The 17022-nt window shown below is 42.1% G+C and overlaps 1 protein-coding gene and 1 long non-coding RNA gene across 6 annotated transcripts in view, besides 2 other annotated features; one reads left to right on the forward strand and one right to left on the reverse strand.

Moving 5' to 3' along the window:
* Positions 1 to 14043, forward strand: part of LOC105374846 (uncharacterized) — a 28486-nt gene extending 14443 nt beyond the window's left edge. Inside the window, exon 3 of one of the 2 annotated variants that reach the window (XR_940321.3) lies at positions 12770 to 14043. This is a non-coding gene — a long non-coding RNA (uncharacterized LOC105374846). Of the gene's footprint in view, positions 1 to 1472; positions 2512 to 12769 lie in introns of those variants that run through there. The other variant, XR_940322.3, reaches the window with a different exon arrangement.
* Positions 9 to 198: a silencer, noted in NCBI's record as "silent region_11721". NCBI's record gives its function as "represses an Ori minimal core promoter by ATAC-STARR-seq in GM12878 lymphoblastoid cells {active_cell/tissue: GM12878}" and the evidence as "EXISTENCE:reporter gene assay evidence [ECO:0000049][PMID:35858748]".
* Positions 6950 to 17022, reverse strand: part of CD8B (CD8 subunit beta) — a 46518-nt gene continuing 36445 nt past the window's right edge. For 3 of the 4 annotated variants that reach the window (NM_001178100.2, NM_172102.5, NM_172213.5), the window contains one exon: positions 6950 to 7299. In NM_001178100.2, coding sequence (NP_001171571.1) covers positions 7196 to 7299 — 104 coding nt within the window. In that variant the 3' untranslated portion in view covers positions 6950 to 7195. Of the gene's footprint in view, positions 7300 to 13901; positions 13956 to 17022 lie in introns of all 4 variants that reach the window. The other variant, NM_172101.5, reaches the window with a different exon arrangement.
* Positions 14293 to 14493: a silencer, noted in NCBI's record as "peak3783 fragment used in MPRA reporter construct". NCBI's record gives its function as "represses an SCP1 promoter by STARR-seq MPRAs in K562 erythroleukemia cells {active_cell/tissue: K562}" and the evidence as "EXISTENCE:reporter gene assay evidence [ECO:0000049][PMID:32103011]".

Consider the following 17022-nt stretch of genomic DNA (forward strand, 5'->3'; position numbering starts at 1 on the left):
GGGTAAGTACTGCAGGTAACTAGGCACTAGCAGCAGGGGCACTAGCAGCAGGGACACTCCCTATCTCGCCTGTCACCCGCGTCCAGCAAAATCTGATGCCCTGTCGGCCCAGCAGGGGGCGGTGCTGCTTTAGTTTTGGCCTGGTCGGGGTTGAGCGGAGGAGGGAGCGACTTCGAATTCAGTCTGCACCTGACTGACCTCGAGCAAAAACGAAGCGGGCGCACGTTACCGTCTTCCATCTGGGGGCCCAGCAGCCTCCATCTTCGCCCTAGCCCCTACAGCCTCGTCCCTGGCTGGGGCTCCAGCTCCCCAATTTCTCACCCTCACCACCAGGAGCTACTTATCTTATCACAGGCTCACTTAGATTACCACTAGGAGATTACCACTCGGGTGGGGTGGAGGTGCGGTGGGATTCGCATTTTGCAAGGGATCAAAAGAGCGGCTAATTATGGCATTTCTAGCCCAAGGCATTGGCCAGAGATATTGCGGGTAGGCCCCTTAACCTCCCAGCATCTCGCAGTATCTACCGATTAGTGCTGAGCCTCCTGTGCAATGCATCCGTCTATAGATATGGCCAGAATGGGCCGGGCTTGGTGCGCGGTGGCTCACTGCTGTAATTCCAACACTTTGGGAGGCCGAGGCGGTCGGATCAACTGAGGTCAGGAGTTCGAGACCAGCCTGGCCAATATGGCGAAATCCTGTTTCTACTTTAAAAACAAACAAACAAACAAACAAAAAACAAAAAAAAAACTAGCCGGGCGTGATGGCGCAAGCCTGTAGTCCTAGCTACTGGGGAGGCTGAGGCAGAAGAATCGTTTGAACCCTGGAGGCGGAAGTTGCAGCGAGCGGAGATCGAGTCACTGCACTCCAGGCTGGGGGATAGAGCGAGACTCCCATCTCAAAATAAAAAATAATAATAATAATTTTTTAAAAAGAAAGAAATGGCCAGAATGCCAAAGCTTTAATGGTGGGTAGAAGTCCCCAGACTTGAGAGTCTCGTTCTCCCAACTCTCCTTCCCCGTCAGAAAGTGCGAAGGGACTGGAATGGAGATCCTGAGCGGTCCTGGGTGCCGGGGCCCCGACCGGGGCTGAGCTGGTCCCCTGGTCGGGACGGCTGGGCAGAGGTGCCGAGGGGCCGCGGGCGGCCCTTCGCTGGCTCATTCGCATCCGCAGCCCCTCAAGAAGGCCCTGGGCCCGCAGGGAGGAAGAGGTGAGCACCCGACAGGAAGGAGATGGGCTTGGGGGCTCGGGGCGTGCCCTGGGGCAGGTGGAGCGTCCGGCCTCTGATGTCCCGCGCAGGACACTGAGGTCGCGGTGCAGAGAAGGGTCGGCTTGAGGATCTGACAGCCTTGCCCGCGTTGGAGACGGGGAAAGGCTCGCAGAACTAAGGTGCGGGGCGGGGGTGCGGGTGCCAAGGTCCCTCTGAGGTTCGTTTGGCTTATTCACCGATTTCATTCCGCTCTTGGTTTTAGTTTACCTGGAAGGTCCTCTCCTGCGCTGGCTCTGGGGGTGCTTGGAACCAGAGCCCCTTAGTCGAAGCGCGTCCTGCTGCCAGCTACTACCAAGTCCTTAGGCCGAGCCCGTTTCTCTCCTGGTGATGTGAATCCTCGTTTTTTGTTGTTGTTGTTGTCGTTTACTGAAGTCCCGGGCTGATTAGACACAGCAATGGAAGCTGGGGGTGGCCTGGGCCGTGCATTGAATTTGTGACTTTAGCAAGTCCCTAAATTCCTCTCTGCCTCACTTTTGCTGTCTTTTTTAGGTTAAAAATATTTTGGAGAATAGAAAACAGAACAAAACAAAAATAATGGCTTATAGTGCCAATATGGAATTATAGTCACTCCTAACATTTTGGTATATTGTTTTGCATTTGCTTTGTTTCTATTCTATGCTTATATATTTTTAATTTTTTTCCATCACTGTCATCATATTTCCTATTCAGGTCTCCAGCCTGCTTTAAAAATTTTTTAATCATAAAGTTCCATAAAAATTTTATTTCAGCCAATTTCTTTTATAACACGTTCTTCATGAATCTTATCTGATATCTGCATAATATTCCACTCATACTTTGCACAATTAGACATTAAGGTCGTGTGTACTTTTTAAATTATGATACAGCAATTTCTAAATAGTGTATAATTTCAATTTTTGTTTCTTAGTTATCATAACAGTTCTTAAAAGGTGATAACAAATTTTTAAGTGGATACATTTTTTCCCCCTTCTTTGGTTTATAATTTTATTGCTCTGTGGTCTGAGAATGTGGCTGTATTTACGCTTTTTGAAATTGAAGTTTTTGATTGATGGTTGATTTCGTAAATAAGTTTAGGCACAGTTTTGTATAAATGATTGGGCACAAAATTCTTTATATTAGATCAAGCTTTGTAAAATGTATTATCCATATCTGCTATGTCTTTTTAAAATTTTTATCTACTTGATCTAATTTCTGAAAGAGCTGTAAGTTTTTTAAATGTGTTTGTGGATTTACTATTTCTTCTTTATATATATATATATATATATATATATTTTTTTTTTTTTTTTTTTTTTTTTTTTTTTTTGAGACGGAGTCTCGCTCTGTCGCCCAGGCTGGAGTGCAGTGGCGTGGTCTCGGCTCACTGCAAGCTCCGCCTCCCGGGTTCACGCCATTCTCCTGCCTCAGCCTCCCGAGTAGCTGTGGTTACTGGCGCCCACCACCACACCCGGCTAATTTTTTGTATTTTTTAGTAGAGACGGGGTTTCACCGTGTTAGCCAGGATGGTCTGCATCTCCTGACCTCTTGATCCGCCCACCCCGGCCTCCCAAGTGCTGGGATTACAGGCGTGAGCCACCGCGCCTGGCCTCTTGTTTATATTTCTAACAGTTTGTGCATTATATATTTTAAAGTGATGTTATGGAGTATAAAAACCATATGGCTGTTAAAGTAATAAACAAAGAAACATTTTGGCTTATATATCTTTTTGTGCATTTGAATTATTTTCTTGGTTTGAATTTTTAGAAGGAAATGGCTCTTAAAGGCAAGTTGGCCTTTTAAAGATTTGACAGATGTATACTGTTGGCTGCATCAGAGTTCTTCTTTCACTAACCCCTGGTCAGCCCCAGGAATTAAAAAACAAATTACACACACACACACACATACACACAGATACACGCATATAGTAAGTCTTCACTGTCATCCATAGGTTCTTGGAAACTGCAACTTTAAGCCAAACAACATATAATAAAACCAGTTTTTCAATCAACATTGTAACAAAACAACATTGAATGAAAAAATACTTTTTGAGGATCTGCTGTATGTTATTTTGCTTAAAATCACAGTTTCCAAGAACCTATACATGATGTTAAGTGAGGACTTAGTATGTGTGGTGTGTGTGCGTGTGTGTGTGTGTGTGTGTGTGTACATGCATCAGTGTTATTTTGGGAGAAGCAAGAAGTGGGATAATTTTTACAATCTCCTTTGATTTTTATTGCGGTTGACGGTTTTTCTGTAGATCTGTAATCACTTGAATTTTCTTTTTTGTGTGTGGATTGTCTGTTCTTGTCCTTTTGTGCTTCTGTTTTCTAACTTTTAACTGAAGGAGGTTAATGTCTTTCAGCTCTTAACACTGTAGGAATTACATTGCTATTTCTTCTACCACAAAACACCTTATTGAAAAAGAAAAACTCCAGCACACCAAACAGATGCCTCAAATTCACCCTGACTGCCCCTGCTCCCCCTGGATCTTAGCAGAAATTTCAGTGTGGCAAACAAAGCAGATAGAGTTCCTATGGGGCCTAAAGCTTATGCAATTTGGGAAACTTCTTTAACCATTTTTTTTTTGAGTAGTGAGATTTTAGCATATTTTGGCTAAAATATGGGGAAAAATAATGCCCAGTGAGATTACATGATTTTCCTGGGATTGATAGATTCATGTCTCAATTTCCATCAGAGAAAGGGAGTGGGGTGGTGAGGAAGGGAAAGTAGTATGGAGAGTTAGGACCCTTTGCCTTCTTTCAGGATAAGAAAGAAAAGGAATAGCCGAGCTTGCCATACACAAGCGGCCCCATTCATTTGTAATATTCCTTCGGTATCCTTTTATTGTCTGTGAGATCCATAGTGATGATCTCTCTTTTGTTTCTGATATGAGTAATTTTTGCCTTCTCTCTTTTTTCTTGGTTAGATTGACTAGAGGTTTACCAATTTTACTGATCTTTTCAAAGAAATAGCTTTTGTTTTATTTTCTCTATTGTTTCCTGTTTTCAGTTTCATTGATTTCTCTAATTTTTATTATTTTTATTCTTCTGCTTGCTTTAGGCTTGTATTGCTCTTCCTTCTCTTGTTTCCTAAGGTGGAATTTTAGATGGTCAATTTTAGATCTCTTTTCAAAATATGTGTATTTAATGCTATAAGTTTCCCTCGAAGTACTGCATTGCTGCATCCCATGAATTTTGAGAAGTTGCATTTTCATTTAGTTCAAAATATTTTAAAATATCTCTTGAGACGTCTTCTTTGACCCATGTGTTATTTAGAAGCATGTTGTTTAATCTTCAAATATTTGGAGACTTTTCAGCTCTCTTTTTGTTATTAATTTCTAGTTTAATTCTGTTGTGGTCTGACAGCATACTTTATATGATTTCTGTTCATTTCAGTTTGTTAAAGTGTGTTTTATGGGAAAGAATGCAATCTCTTTTGGTAAATGTTCCATGTGAACTTGGAAGAATATGTATTTTGTTGTTGGATAGAGTATTCTATAAATGTCAATTAGATCAAACTGGTTGAGAGTGCTGTTGAGGTCAATTAAATCATTACTGACTTTCTACCTGCTAGATTTATCAATTATTGAGAGAGAAGTATTGAAATATCCAACTATAATAGTGACTTTGTGTATTTTTCCTTGCATACCTATCATTTTTTCTCTCAGGTATTTTGATGCTTTGCTAATACATGTATGCATGTTAAGGATTGTTTTGTCTTCTTGGAGAATTGACCCTTTTAATATTATGTAATGTCCTTCTTTATCCCTGATGATTTTCCTTGCTATGAAGTCTGCTTTGTCTGAAATTAGCTACTCCAGCTTTCTTTTGATAGTGTTAACAAGATATATCTTTCTCTATTCCTTATAACCCATCTGAGTCTTACATTTAAGGTGGGTTTCTTGTGGACAGCATATGGTTAGGCCTTGCTTTTTTACTACTCTGACAATCTCTGTCTTTTACTTGGATATATTTAGACCATTCACATTGAAAGTGGTTATTGATATAGTTGGATTAGTATCTACTATGTTCGTAACTGTTTTCTATTTGTTACAGTTGTTTTTTGTCTCTTCTTTCCCCTGTCCCGTCCATTGTAATGACTGTTTATCAACGTTTTCCCAAAGATTGCCTGAGCTCTCAACCAGTATCATGTCTATCTCTGTGTGCAGCAAAATATACTTCCTCATACCTGTGCATAATAAGGCAGGTGCGAAGGTGTTCATGCAGCACTGCCTTTAAAGTGGGAAAACCCAGTCTTCATCAATGGGGCAATAGGAATTTAAATTATGGTTCACCGACCTACAGGAATACCAGGAGGCAGTCAAACATAAGCCAATACATCTATATGTCCTGGAATATAGCAAATTCTGACATATATTGTCAAGTAAAAAAAGCTAGTTGCAGACCAATATATATATTATAACTCTTTTAGGTAAAAATCGTGTGTGTGTGTGTGTGTCTGTGTGTGAATGTCTAAATGCACAGAAAAATGTGTGTCTAAATGCAGAGAAAAATCTCTAGGTTTATACAAACTGTGTGTTTTTACAAACTGATGGCAGATTTGGGAAAGCAAAGAAATATTAATTATATTTTTTCTGACAAAACTTATATTCATGTATTTGTAAGCTTTAAACACACACACACACAAACACACACACACACACACACACACACGCACAACTTATTTAAGACCAGACTGGCCAACATGGTGAAACCCTGTCTCTACAAAAATACAAAATTTAGCCAGGCATGATGCCAGGCGCCTGTAATCCCAGCTACTGGGGAGGCTGAGGTGGAAGAATTGCTTGAACCCGGGAAGGTGGAGGTTGCAGTGAGCCAAGATCACACCACCGCACTCCAGCCTGGGCAACAGAGTGAGACTCTGTCTCAAAAAAAAAAAAAAAAAAAAAGGGCTGGGCATGGTGCTCATGCCTATAATCCCAACATTTTGGGAGGCTGAGGCAGGCAGGTTGCTTGAGCCCAGGAGCTCAAGGCCAGCCTGGGCAACATAAGGAGACCCCGTGTCTACAATAAATACAAAAATTTGCCAGGTGTGGTGGTGTGCACCTGTAGTCTCAGCTACCCAGGAGGCTGAGGTGGAAGAATTGCCTGAGCCTGGGAGGTCAACGCTAGAGTGAGCCGTGATTGCACCACTGCACTCCAGCCTGGGTGACAGAGTGAGACCTTGTCTCAAAAATAAAAAATAAATTAAAAGTAGGCCGGGCCTGGGTGGTTCATGCCTGTAATTCCAGCACTTTGGGAGGCCGAGGTGGTTGAATCACCTGAGGTCAAGGGTTCGAGACCAACCTGGCCAAACATGGTGAAACCCCGTCTCTACTAAAAATACAAAAATTAACCATGTGTGGTGGCATGTGCCTGTAGTCCCAGCAGGCAGAGGCAGGAGAATCACTTGAACCCAGGAGGCAGAGATTGTAGTGAGCCAAGATCGAGTCCCTGCACTCCAGCCTGGGTGACAGCGAGACTCCGTCTCAAAAATATATAAATAAATAAAAAAAATAAATTTTTAAAAAGCAAAGAAGCTTAAAAACGCTTTCCTTCACAAGGAAAGAACATCTGCCTGACATAAGTAACCCTCTCTAACCTCAGCATTTGGCGGCTGTTCTGAAATGGGTGGTCCATACTCATAGTGATCTGGTGCTAGAGATGCAGGAAGCAAAGATGTTCCCCAGTACTTGCCAAGCTCAATGGTTCCCTTTTCCCGGTCTTTAGGATTTTGGGCAAATTTATTCAAGATGGATACATTTGGTTCCACAAGGGGGACACTTTGGGGTTCACAAGGATGGGGGCCACAGCTCACCAGGGCAGAACTTGAGCCCCCTATGACTTGGGGGGTTGATGGTGGCAGAGAAGTCTCTGCTGGGTGTGTGGGAGGATCCCTCTGAGCGAGGGAGGAATCTGGTAAAAGTAGTAAAGATCCACTCATCAGGACCTGTGCTTCTTGCCTATGTTTTCAGGATCCATGGGTTAAGCAGCTTCTGTGAGGTTGTAGTATTGCTGTAGTATCCATGCAGGCATTGGGGGACAAAGGTTCCTGATATACCTTCCCCTTGAGGCCTTGCAAAAAGAAAAACAAGAGAGTCTCAATACATGCACCAAGTCAAGGTGTTGGTTACTTATTAAGTAATGACTGATTTTTTTCTGTGACTCAGTCGAGTCAGATGTTGTGTCAAATTCAACACAGAAAGAGCCAGGCATATAGCACTTGATAGGCCTAGGGTTACCACAGGATCCAACCACATTTGATTCAGGATCTCAAAGCCAGAAACCTCTGTTTCTGTTTCTTGTGATTTCTTCTCAGAAAGAGGAAACCACACACAGAGAATTACCTGCTCAGTTATTCCCCAAAGTTAATATCATTTGGGAAAGCGGGTGAGGGTTTTATCCTTCCCTCTTGGGCATCACTGTCAATTTTATTGCCATGGTTAATCAAGGTGAATTTCAATAGTGTCTGACCTGCAAATTAGTTTTCTGCCATTTGGAATCAAGGATGTACGGGTCAACAGCTGCAGGAGACTTCAGAGAGGTCCCCATGCTTAAAAAATTTCTCTCAGGAGAGTAGTAAGGTAGGGTGGCTATTGTCATCACAGGTTGGAAGACAAGATGGTCACAAATGTTAGAGAATTTATTCTGATGGAAACTTCTCCTCCGGGGTACTTTATAATGGACATGAAGACTCAACTTCAGGAAGATGTAAGTTTTCCCCAGTTAATCTACAGATCCAGTGCATTCAAAATGCCAACCAGATTTTGCTCACAAGCTGATTATCAAATTCATATGGAAGTATAAAGGGCCAAAAATAGCTGAATAATTTTGCTGAAGGGTAAGGGGGGGACCCATTATTCCACATATCATGATTTATAAACTCTAGTAATTTAAACACAAATAGAACAATGAAAGAGAGTAGGGGGCCTAGAAAATACAGATGTGAACATGTTGGAGATGGCTGGGCACTCCTGTGGGTAAAGGATTCGATCATTAGTGCTGTGACATTGGCTTCCCATGTGGGAAAAACGTAAAACTTGAACTCTATCTCAAACCATTCACAAATGTATACTCCAGATAGAATAAATATGAAAAGCAAAGTTTCAAAACTTTTTTAAAAAATGTGTTTTTAAGACAGAGACATGATAAGGCACAGAATTTCTTGGTCAAAATATAAAAGGACAAGCCATAAAAGTGTGATGTTACCATTCGAACATTTGTTTAAAGTATGCAGGGCAAAAACCAATACAAAGTTAAAGGACAAGTCTCAAATTAGTAGAAGATATTTGCAGTGCATAAAAGCAACAGAAGATCTTTATCCATAACATATCAGACTCTCACAAAGTAATAAGTTAAAGACAGCAGAATTAAAAATGGGCAAAGTACGTGACCAAGCCAATATCCAAATAAAAAGATGCCAAACATTACTTGAATCAGTGAGATGCAAATGAAAACAACCAATATCATTTTATATTCAAATTAGCAAAATGAACAAGACCAATAACATCAAGCATGAGGGAGGATATGACCAAATAACTGTGATGCAGTGTTGATGGGGATGTAAATTGTTACAACTGCAGTGGAGATAATTTGGGATATCTAGTAAAAATATCTATTAAAAATGAAGATGCTCTGGCCCCAGAACTTCCACTTCCAGATTCATTGCTCAGAGAAGTTTTGATGTATAAGAGTGTTCACAGAAGCACAAACAACAGAAATTGGAAAATTGTAATAATAATTATAAACTAATATCTAATAGGGGAATGAATAAAATTGTAATACATTAATAAAATATGACACAATAAATGAACTAGATCCACAGGCATCAACACAGGTAAATCTCAAAAATATGTTGAATGAAATAAGCAAATTTTAAAAGTGCATGTACACTCTGACATTATTTATAAAAAATAAAAGCACATGCCATATATTATTCATTATTATGTCATTGTTTATAGATACTTACATAATAAGAGAATCACAAGTATAAAAAAAGCCTGGAGGCAGAACCCACAAATTTCAAGATAGGGTATGCAGTATGGAGGATGGAATAGGGGTGAAGAAGGGGTCTCAACACAAACATTTTATTGCTTGAAATAAAAGACTGAAGCAAATTTGGCAAAAGTTAAATTTGCTAAATCTGACAGATTTATTTAGCAAATCTGCTAATTTGCTAAATAAACTTGAAGCTAGTATGTTACCTTCAGTAGTTTTCTTTATATTTGGCATAATTCATAATTCATGGGAGGAGGTAATTACATATTAAAAATATATATTCACTGGCTGGGTGCAGTGGCTTATGCCTGTAATCCCAGCACTTTGGGAGGCCAAGATGGGTAGATCACCTGAGTTCAGGAGTTCGAGACCAGCCTGGCCAACATGATGAAACCCTGTTTCTACTAAAAATATAAAAATTAGCCGGGCGTGGTGGCGGGCACCTGTGGTCCCAGCTACTCAGGAGGCTGAGGCAGGAGAATTGCTTGAACTGGGAGATGGAGGTTGCTGTGAGCCGAGACTGTACCACTGCACTTCAGTCTGGGTGACAGAGCGAGACTCCATCTCAAAATAAATAAATAAATAAAAATAAATAAATAAAGTATATATTCATAATTAACAGAGTAACTGTATGTAATGAGTACCTGCTGTGTTCCAGGCACTGTTTAAAGTACAGGCATACCTCATTTTATTGCACTTTATTTTTTTATTGTGCTGCACGGATGTTGTATTTTTAGCAAATTGAAAGTTTGTGGCAACCCTGCCTGGAGCAAATCTATCAATGCTGTTTTTCAATAGCATGTGTTGACTTTGTGCCTCTGGATCACCTTTTAATAATTCTTGCAATACCTCAAACTTTTTCATTATTATTGTGTCTGTTCTGGTGACTGTAATCAGTTATTTTTGATGTTACTATTTTAATTGTTTTAGGGCACCATGAACCATGCCCATTTATGACAGTGAACTTGATCCATAAATGTTGGGTGTGTTCTGACTGCTCCATGACCAGCCATTCTGTATCTCCTTCTCCTTAGGCCCCCCTATGCCCTGAGCCACAAAAATATTAAAATTAGGCCAATTAATAACCCTACAATGGTTTCTAAGTGTTCAAGGGAAAGGAAGAATTGCGCATCTCTCACTTTAAATCAAAAGCTAGAAATGATTAAGTTTAGTGAGGAAGGGATGCTGAAAGTGGAGACAGGCTGAAAGCTAGGTCTCTTGTGTCAAATAATGAGCCAAGTTGAGAAGGTAGAGAAAAAGTTCTTGAAGGAAATTAAAAGTACTAATCCAGTGAGCACATGAATGATAAGAAAACGAAATAGCCTTATTGCTGATATGGAGAGAGTTTTAGTGGTCTGGGTAAATCGGAACAGCCACAAAATTCCCTTAAGCAAAAGCCTAATCCAGAGCAAAGTCCCAACTCTCTTAAATTTTATGAAAGCTGAAGTGGTGAGGAAGCTGCAGAAGAAAAGTTTGAAGCTAGGAGAGGTTGGTTGATTCAAGTGGTTTAAGGGAAGATACCATCTCCTTAACATCAAAATGCAACGTGAAGAAGCAGGTGCTAATATAGAAACTAATAGGTGCTGCAGCACAGCAGGTTATCCAAAAGAGCTTTCTAAGATTATTGACAAAGGTGGCTACACTAAACAACAGATTTTCAATGTAGACAAAACAGCCTTATATTGGAAGAAGATGCTACTAGGTCTTTCATAGCTAGAGAGAAGTCAATGCCTGGCTTCAAAGGACAGCCTGCCTCTCTTGTTAGGGGCTAATGCAGCTGGTGACTTTAAGTTGAAGCCAATGCTCATTTACCATTCTAAAAACCCTAAGTCCCTTAAGAATTATGCTAAGTCTACTCTACTTATACTCTGTAAATGGAATAGCAAAGCCTGGATGACAGCACATCTGTTTAGAGCATGGTTTACTGAATATTTAAAGCCCACTGTTGAGACTCGCTCAGGAAAAAAGATTCCTTTCAAAATATTACTGCTCATTGAAAATGTGCCTGGTCACCCAAGAGATCTGATGGAGATGTACAAGGAGATTAATATTGTTTTTCATGACTGGTAAAACAACATTGATTTTACATGGACCAAGGAGTAATTTTGACTTTCAATTCTTATTAAGAAATACATTTCGTAAGGCTAGAGCTGCCACAGATGATGATTCCTCTGATAGATCTGGGTGAAACCTTCTGGAAAGGATTCACCATTCTAGATGCAACAAAGAACATTTGTGATTCATGGGAGCAGGTATAAATACCAACATTAGGAGGAGTTTGGAAGCAGGTGATTCCAATTCTCCTGGATGAGTTGGAGGAGTTCAAGACTTCAGTGGAGGAAGTAACTGCAAGTATGGTAGAAATAGCAAGAGAACTAGAGATAGAAGTGGAGTCTGAAGACGTGGCTGAATTGTTGCAATCCCGTGATCAAACTTAACACATGAGGAGTTTATTCTCTCTGATGAGCAAAGAAGGTGGTTTCTTGAAATGGAATCTACTCCTGGTGAAGATGGTGTGAACATTGTTGAAATGACAACAGAAGATAGAGAATGTTACATAAACTTAGTTGAGAAAGAGGCGTCAGTATTTGAGAGGAGTGACTCCAATTTTGAATGCTGTTCTACTGTAGGTAAAATGCTATCAAACAGCATCGCATGCTACAGATAAATCTTTTGTGAAAGGAAGAGTCAATCAATGTGGCAAGATTTGTTGTTGTCCTATTTTACGAAATTGGCACAGCCACGCCAGCCTTTGGCAACCACCATTCTGATCAGTCAGCAGCCATTGACATCAAGGCAAGATGCCCTCCATCAGCAAAGAAATTATGACTCACTGAAAGCTCAGGTGATTTTAGCATGTATTTGGTAATAAATTATTTTTTGATTAAGACGTACTTTTTTTTTCAGACATAATGTCTTTGTACACTTAGTAGACTACCTTATAGGGTAAACATAACTTTTATGTACACTGGGAAACCAAAAAATGAATGTAACTGGCTTTATTGTGATATTTGCTTTATTGTGGTGGTCTGGAACTGAACCTGAGATATCTCTGAGGTTTGCCTATACTGGAATTTCCAAGGTTAGTGAAACATCCTTTCTGCAGCCTGAGTGGTGAGATTTAGGCTAGTCTCAAAAATATAAAAAATAACTAGAATATAATGTAATAACAGTGATCATTAAGATAACAATGCTAGCAGCTACCATTGACTGAGTAGTATGTGCCATGCACTCTGCAAGCACTATTTTATTAATGCTCATGTGTGAGGTAGATATTATCATTATTCTTGTTTTATATTCAAGGTTCAGAGAGGTTAATTCACTTGCTCAGAGTCACACAGGTAGCCCAGATCTGCTATGTGCCAGCCCTAATTACTGAGCCATCCTGTCTGTCCCACCTTTTCTGACCCAACTCCCCACTTCTGAACCACAGGCGGTGTAGCTGGCTTTGAATATAGGTGCTCTTTTTATATAGGTACTCTTGAAAGGATCAACTTTACTTTTTTTTTTTTTTTCAAATAATCCAATAACTTTGACTTTTTATTAGGTTACACTGGCATTCTCCCAAGTTTTTCATCAAACTCATGAAGCCTGCTGCTCCTTCAATTCTCAAGGCGTTGGAGTGAGGCCGCCTGGGGTGAATCGAAGCTTTCGGATTTATCAAATGTGGTGTGATTTCTAAGACGCCATTGAGCCCTGCTAAAGGAGTTGCTAATATCCACCTCGTTCTGCGGTTAAGAAACCAACAGGAAAAAGAACGCACAACTCCCAGCACAGTGCTGGCGCCTGTGAGGCACTCAGCCGACGGGAGCTTTGTTCTTCGTTGTATTGTGGCGGGGAAGCAACATGGGGCCTTGTCCTGCGGACACACTTGAGTTAAGATCACACTGGGGCTCCTTCAGGCCCTGGGCCAAGTTGGGGCACAGGCCGAGTTCGGTTGTTGCTGTAGCCTCAGAACCACCCAGAGTTGACTGAAGACACTCGGGGGCCTCCATAACTGAGAGCAGGCAGAGGCATTGTTTTTAACCCAGTGTGGACCCCCAAATGGAACATTTTCCTTCCCTAGGTGAACGCCTTCGGAACCCTCCGAAAATCGCAGTTTCACTTTTAGCAAAGAGCCCCGCTGCAGCAGGGGAAAGCCCCCACAAACCCCGTCCTCTCCAAAGGGAATGTTCCGAGCCCCCTGCTTCCTCCACCCTTCTCTTCCCCCTGGTTAATTCCTTCGCTCCAGCTCGTTCTGCCTTCTTTCTTTCTTTGCCTTTTCGAGGCCCGCTCTTCTCTGATTTTGAAGGGCTGGCGCAGGCTTGGGCACTTCTTTCAGGTTCTGTATTGTATGTCTGCCCTGTGGCTTCTCCTTTTGCAACTCCGAGCAACTCTGTGCTTGGATTGCAGCTCCCAACAGTCCTGCCCTGACTTGCCCCAGTCACAGGGCAGAGATGAACCAGGGACTGTACCCAGGGTTTTGAGTTCCTGCCATATTTATAGCATCAACTCTCCTTTAGCTCTTGGGAAAAAGGGTTTTAAAGTGCTGCAATCTTCTAACACAAAATTATATCAGTGCTGAAAATGTGTTTTCCACTTATACCCCAGCAGGAAAAAAAAAAAAGATGATATCTGTTTCAGGTAAGAGTCATGATGACCTCAGAAAGCAATATCAGAAGCTATCAAAATGTTTATACCTGTATATTCAGTAGTCCATTCTGGAACATTTCTCCAGTGGATGTAATCTTAGTCTTGGCACAATAGAGTATGAACAGAGATGTTAAATGTTAAAAGCAATGGAAATGTTCAGAAATAAAGCAATATTTAAGTAAACAATGATAATGCATTCAATATAATTTTAGGCATTAACATGATGATGTTTTAGAATTATGAAACCTATGGAAAGGTTGACAAGGAAAACGCAGACAGCATGCTTGATATAAACATACATTCAGCATGATTATAACTATGTAAAATGTAAAAAATGTTTTTAAAACATTAGAAGAAAATACACCAAGATGCGTTTCCCTTGCTGTTGTTTCTAGTGGCTAATTTTTGCAATGTGTATTACTGCAGTTATATCACCTTTACAAATGGAAAGCTTAAAAATAACTCACTTCCCTTCCCAGAGAGCAATGTTCAGTGCAAAGCCACACTCCACTCCAGGGATGGCCTTCAGCACTGGACTTTTTGGGAGCCAGAATCAAGCAGTATGTGTCACTTCTTATCTCATGTTGTTGGTGCCACTTACTCATATGTTGTCTCATCATTCTGCAGTTGTTTAATGTGTTTATATCTTTCTCTACAACCATTTTTTAAAAGCTATTTTTAAAATTGTGGCAAAATGTATGCATAACATAAATTTACCATTTTAGTCATTTCTAAGTATACACTCCACTGGCATTAAGTATATTTATATTTTTGTGCAATCATTACCACCATGCATCCACAGAACTTTTTCATCTTCCTAAACTAAAACTCTGTACCCACTAAGCACCAACTCCCCATTCCCCCTCCCCCAGTTCCAGGTAACCGCTATGATATTTTCAGTTTCTCTGACGAATTCAGAGACACCACTCTTGGTACCTCCTGCAAGTAGAATCATACTGTATTTACCTTTTTGCACAATCATTTTTTAAAACTTAAAAAAAATTTTTAATTAATTTTTTTGAGACAGTCTCACTCTGTCACCCAGGCTGGTTGGTGTTTGCAGTGGCACGATCATGGCTCACTGTAGCCTTCACCTCGTGGGCTCAAGTGATCTTCACATCTCAGACTCCCGAGTATTTGGGACTACAGGCACCCACCACGGTGCCCGGCTAATTTTTTAATTTTTTGTGGAGATGAGGTCTTACTATGTTGCCCAGGCTGGTCTCAAACTCCTAGGCCCAAGGGATCCTCCTACTTCAGCCTTTCAAAGTGCTGAGATTACAAAGCGAGCCACAAGCCTCGGCCTGCACAATCATTATAAAAAGCTCTCTGAGGATAAGGACCAAGGCCCTGATTTGTTTTCATTGTAAACATAATGTTCATTTGCTCATTGATTTGATATTGACTGTGCACCCACACGTGTGCTGGGCACTGTTCGAGGCAGGGTTTAAGAAACGCTCAAGAAGCACATGTGGTCTCTCAAGGGGACGGTGTAGTGGACAGAGATAACAAAGAAAAACACAGAGAAGAAAGAATGACGGAGAGTGAGAAGTGCTGTAAGTGCAGTGACAGACACCGCCCCAGGGCCTCCTGGACAGGCTGCATGTTTGTAGGATGATGGGGAGTGGTCCTGGAGAAGACTGAGGAGGAGCCCTGGGGGGTCCAGGCAGAGAGAGGAGGGGCACAGAGCTGGAGGACGGAAGGGCCTTTGTACAGCATGTGTGTGTGTGTGTGTATGCTGGGGGACACGCAGGGAGATGGCAGGCCTCAGCACTGGGGAGAGCTGGAGTGCATTCTAGATGCAGCAGGGAGCTGGAGCAGGGACCCTCTTCTCCCTGCCTGGCCTGAGAGCAGGGAAGGAGGCCCTGGGCTGTGGCTGATTGCAGTCAACACTGAGGAACAAGTGCCAATGCTTCATGCAGGGCACAACCTCTGCCACACTTTTACCTATGTGACCTTCTGGGCCAGGTACTGTGAGGTGCTTCATTTCTCAGATAGCAAGGCTGAGGCTCAGATCAATGCTGCTTTGCACACAGCTGGAAGTGGCCAAATCAGCCCGAAACCCCCATTTTGTTCTGCATCTTTGTGCAGGGCTGGGTGGCTGTGTGTGCAATGTCTGTTGTGCTGGACATGCAACAGGAAAGCAATTGTTACCTCTAATTTTTAGGAGGCCAAAGGGCAAGAAGCCACGTGCTCCAGGCCAAAGAGCAGCTAAGGGAATGAAGAGTAAATCTGTGATTGAATGAATGAGCAGATGAAAAGAGAAAAAGCCTCCCCCTGCACAAACCTGCAACCCATTCCCTTCCTGGGGTCCTGTGGGGAGGGGGCTTTTCATCAGTGCCCTGGGTCAGGGAAGAGAGAGGGAGGCCTTGTGGTGGAGGGAAGGGGAGGAGAGCTCACCATCAGAGGTGGAAAGAAGGTTCTAGTCCCTCCAGAGCACACTCAGGGATGCTTTCTTGTGCTTCTGTCCCAAGGCCTTGTCTCGACCTTGCTTACTATAAACACAGTGCTACATCCTGCTTTTCCTTTACTTCATTGCATAAACCTTCCCTGAATCGCTTCCAGAATCTTTAGAACCACCGTTTTTAAGGTTTGAATACTTGTATACCAAGTAAATGACCACAGCTTATTGAAACTCCTCTTTATAGTCAACCACTTAGGTTGTTCTATTGTTATTTCTAGAACACATAACTAATGCCAATAAATAATGATGATGGCACAGATTAGTATTTCCTGAGGATGGATCTCTTGCGTGGGTTCCAAAGCTCTAAGCAATTTATATGGGCCCTGGAGTTTCCTCCACAGCTCCTAAGGCAGCTCTGGCACATGAGGAGGCTGGGAAAAGAGCAGGGGTGATGGGTGCATCTGCCTTGGTAAGTGAACTTGTTGGTTCTGTCCCACGCAGCTTGGGTGTCGGTGTGGGGGGTGTGCTGCTGGGGTTGGAGAGGGGCCGCCCTACATAACGTCCCCACATAAAAGGGGCAGGTGTGCAGGTGGTCCCAGGGATGGCGGCAGCTCTGTCTGACTCCCCCCTACTGGGGGGCTATGGGGGCTGTGGGAGTGGAGGGTGAGGATCACCGTCCTCCAGGATCCCCCAACCCCTCCTTGGCCATTCCCTTTGACTTCCTTGGGAAAGAGTCCAGGCTTCAGAGGATTCTTTGCTCATTT

The sequence above is a fragment of the Homo sapiens genome, chromosome 2 (assembly GCF_000001405.40).
Source record: "Homo sapiens chromosome 2, GRCh38.p14 Primary Assembly".
NCBI lineage: Eukaryota > Metazoa > Chordata > Mammalia > Primates > Hominidae > Homo > Homo sapiens.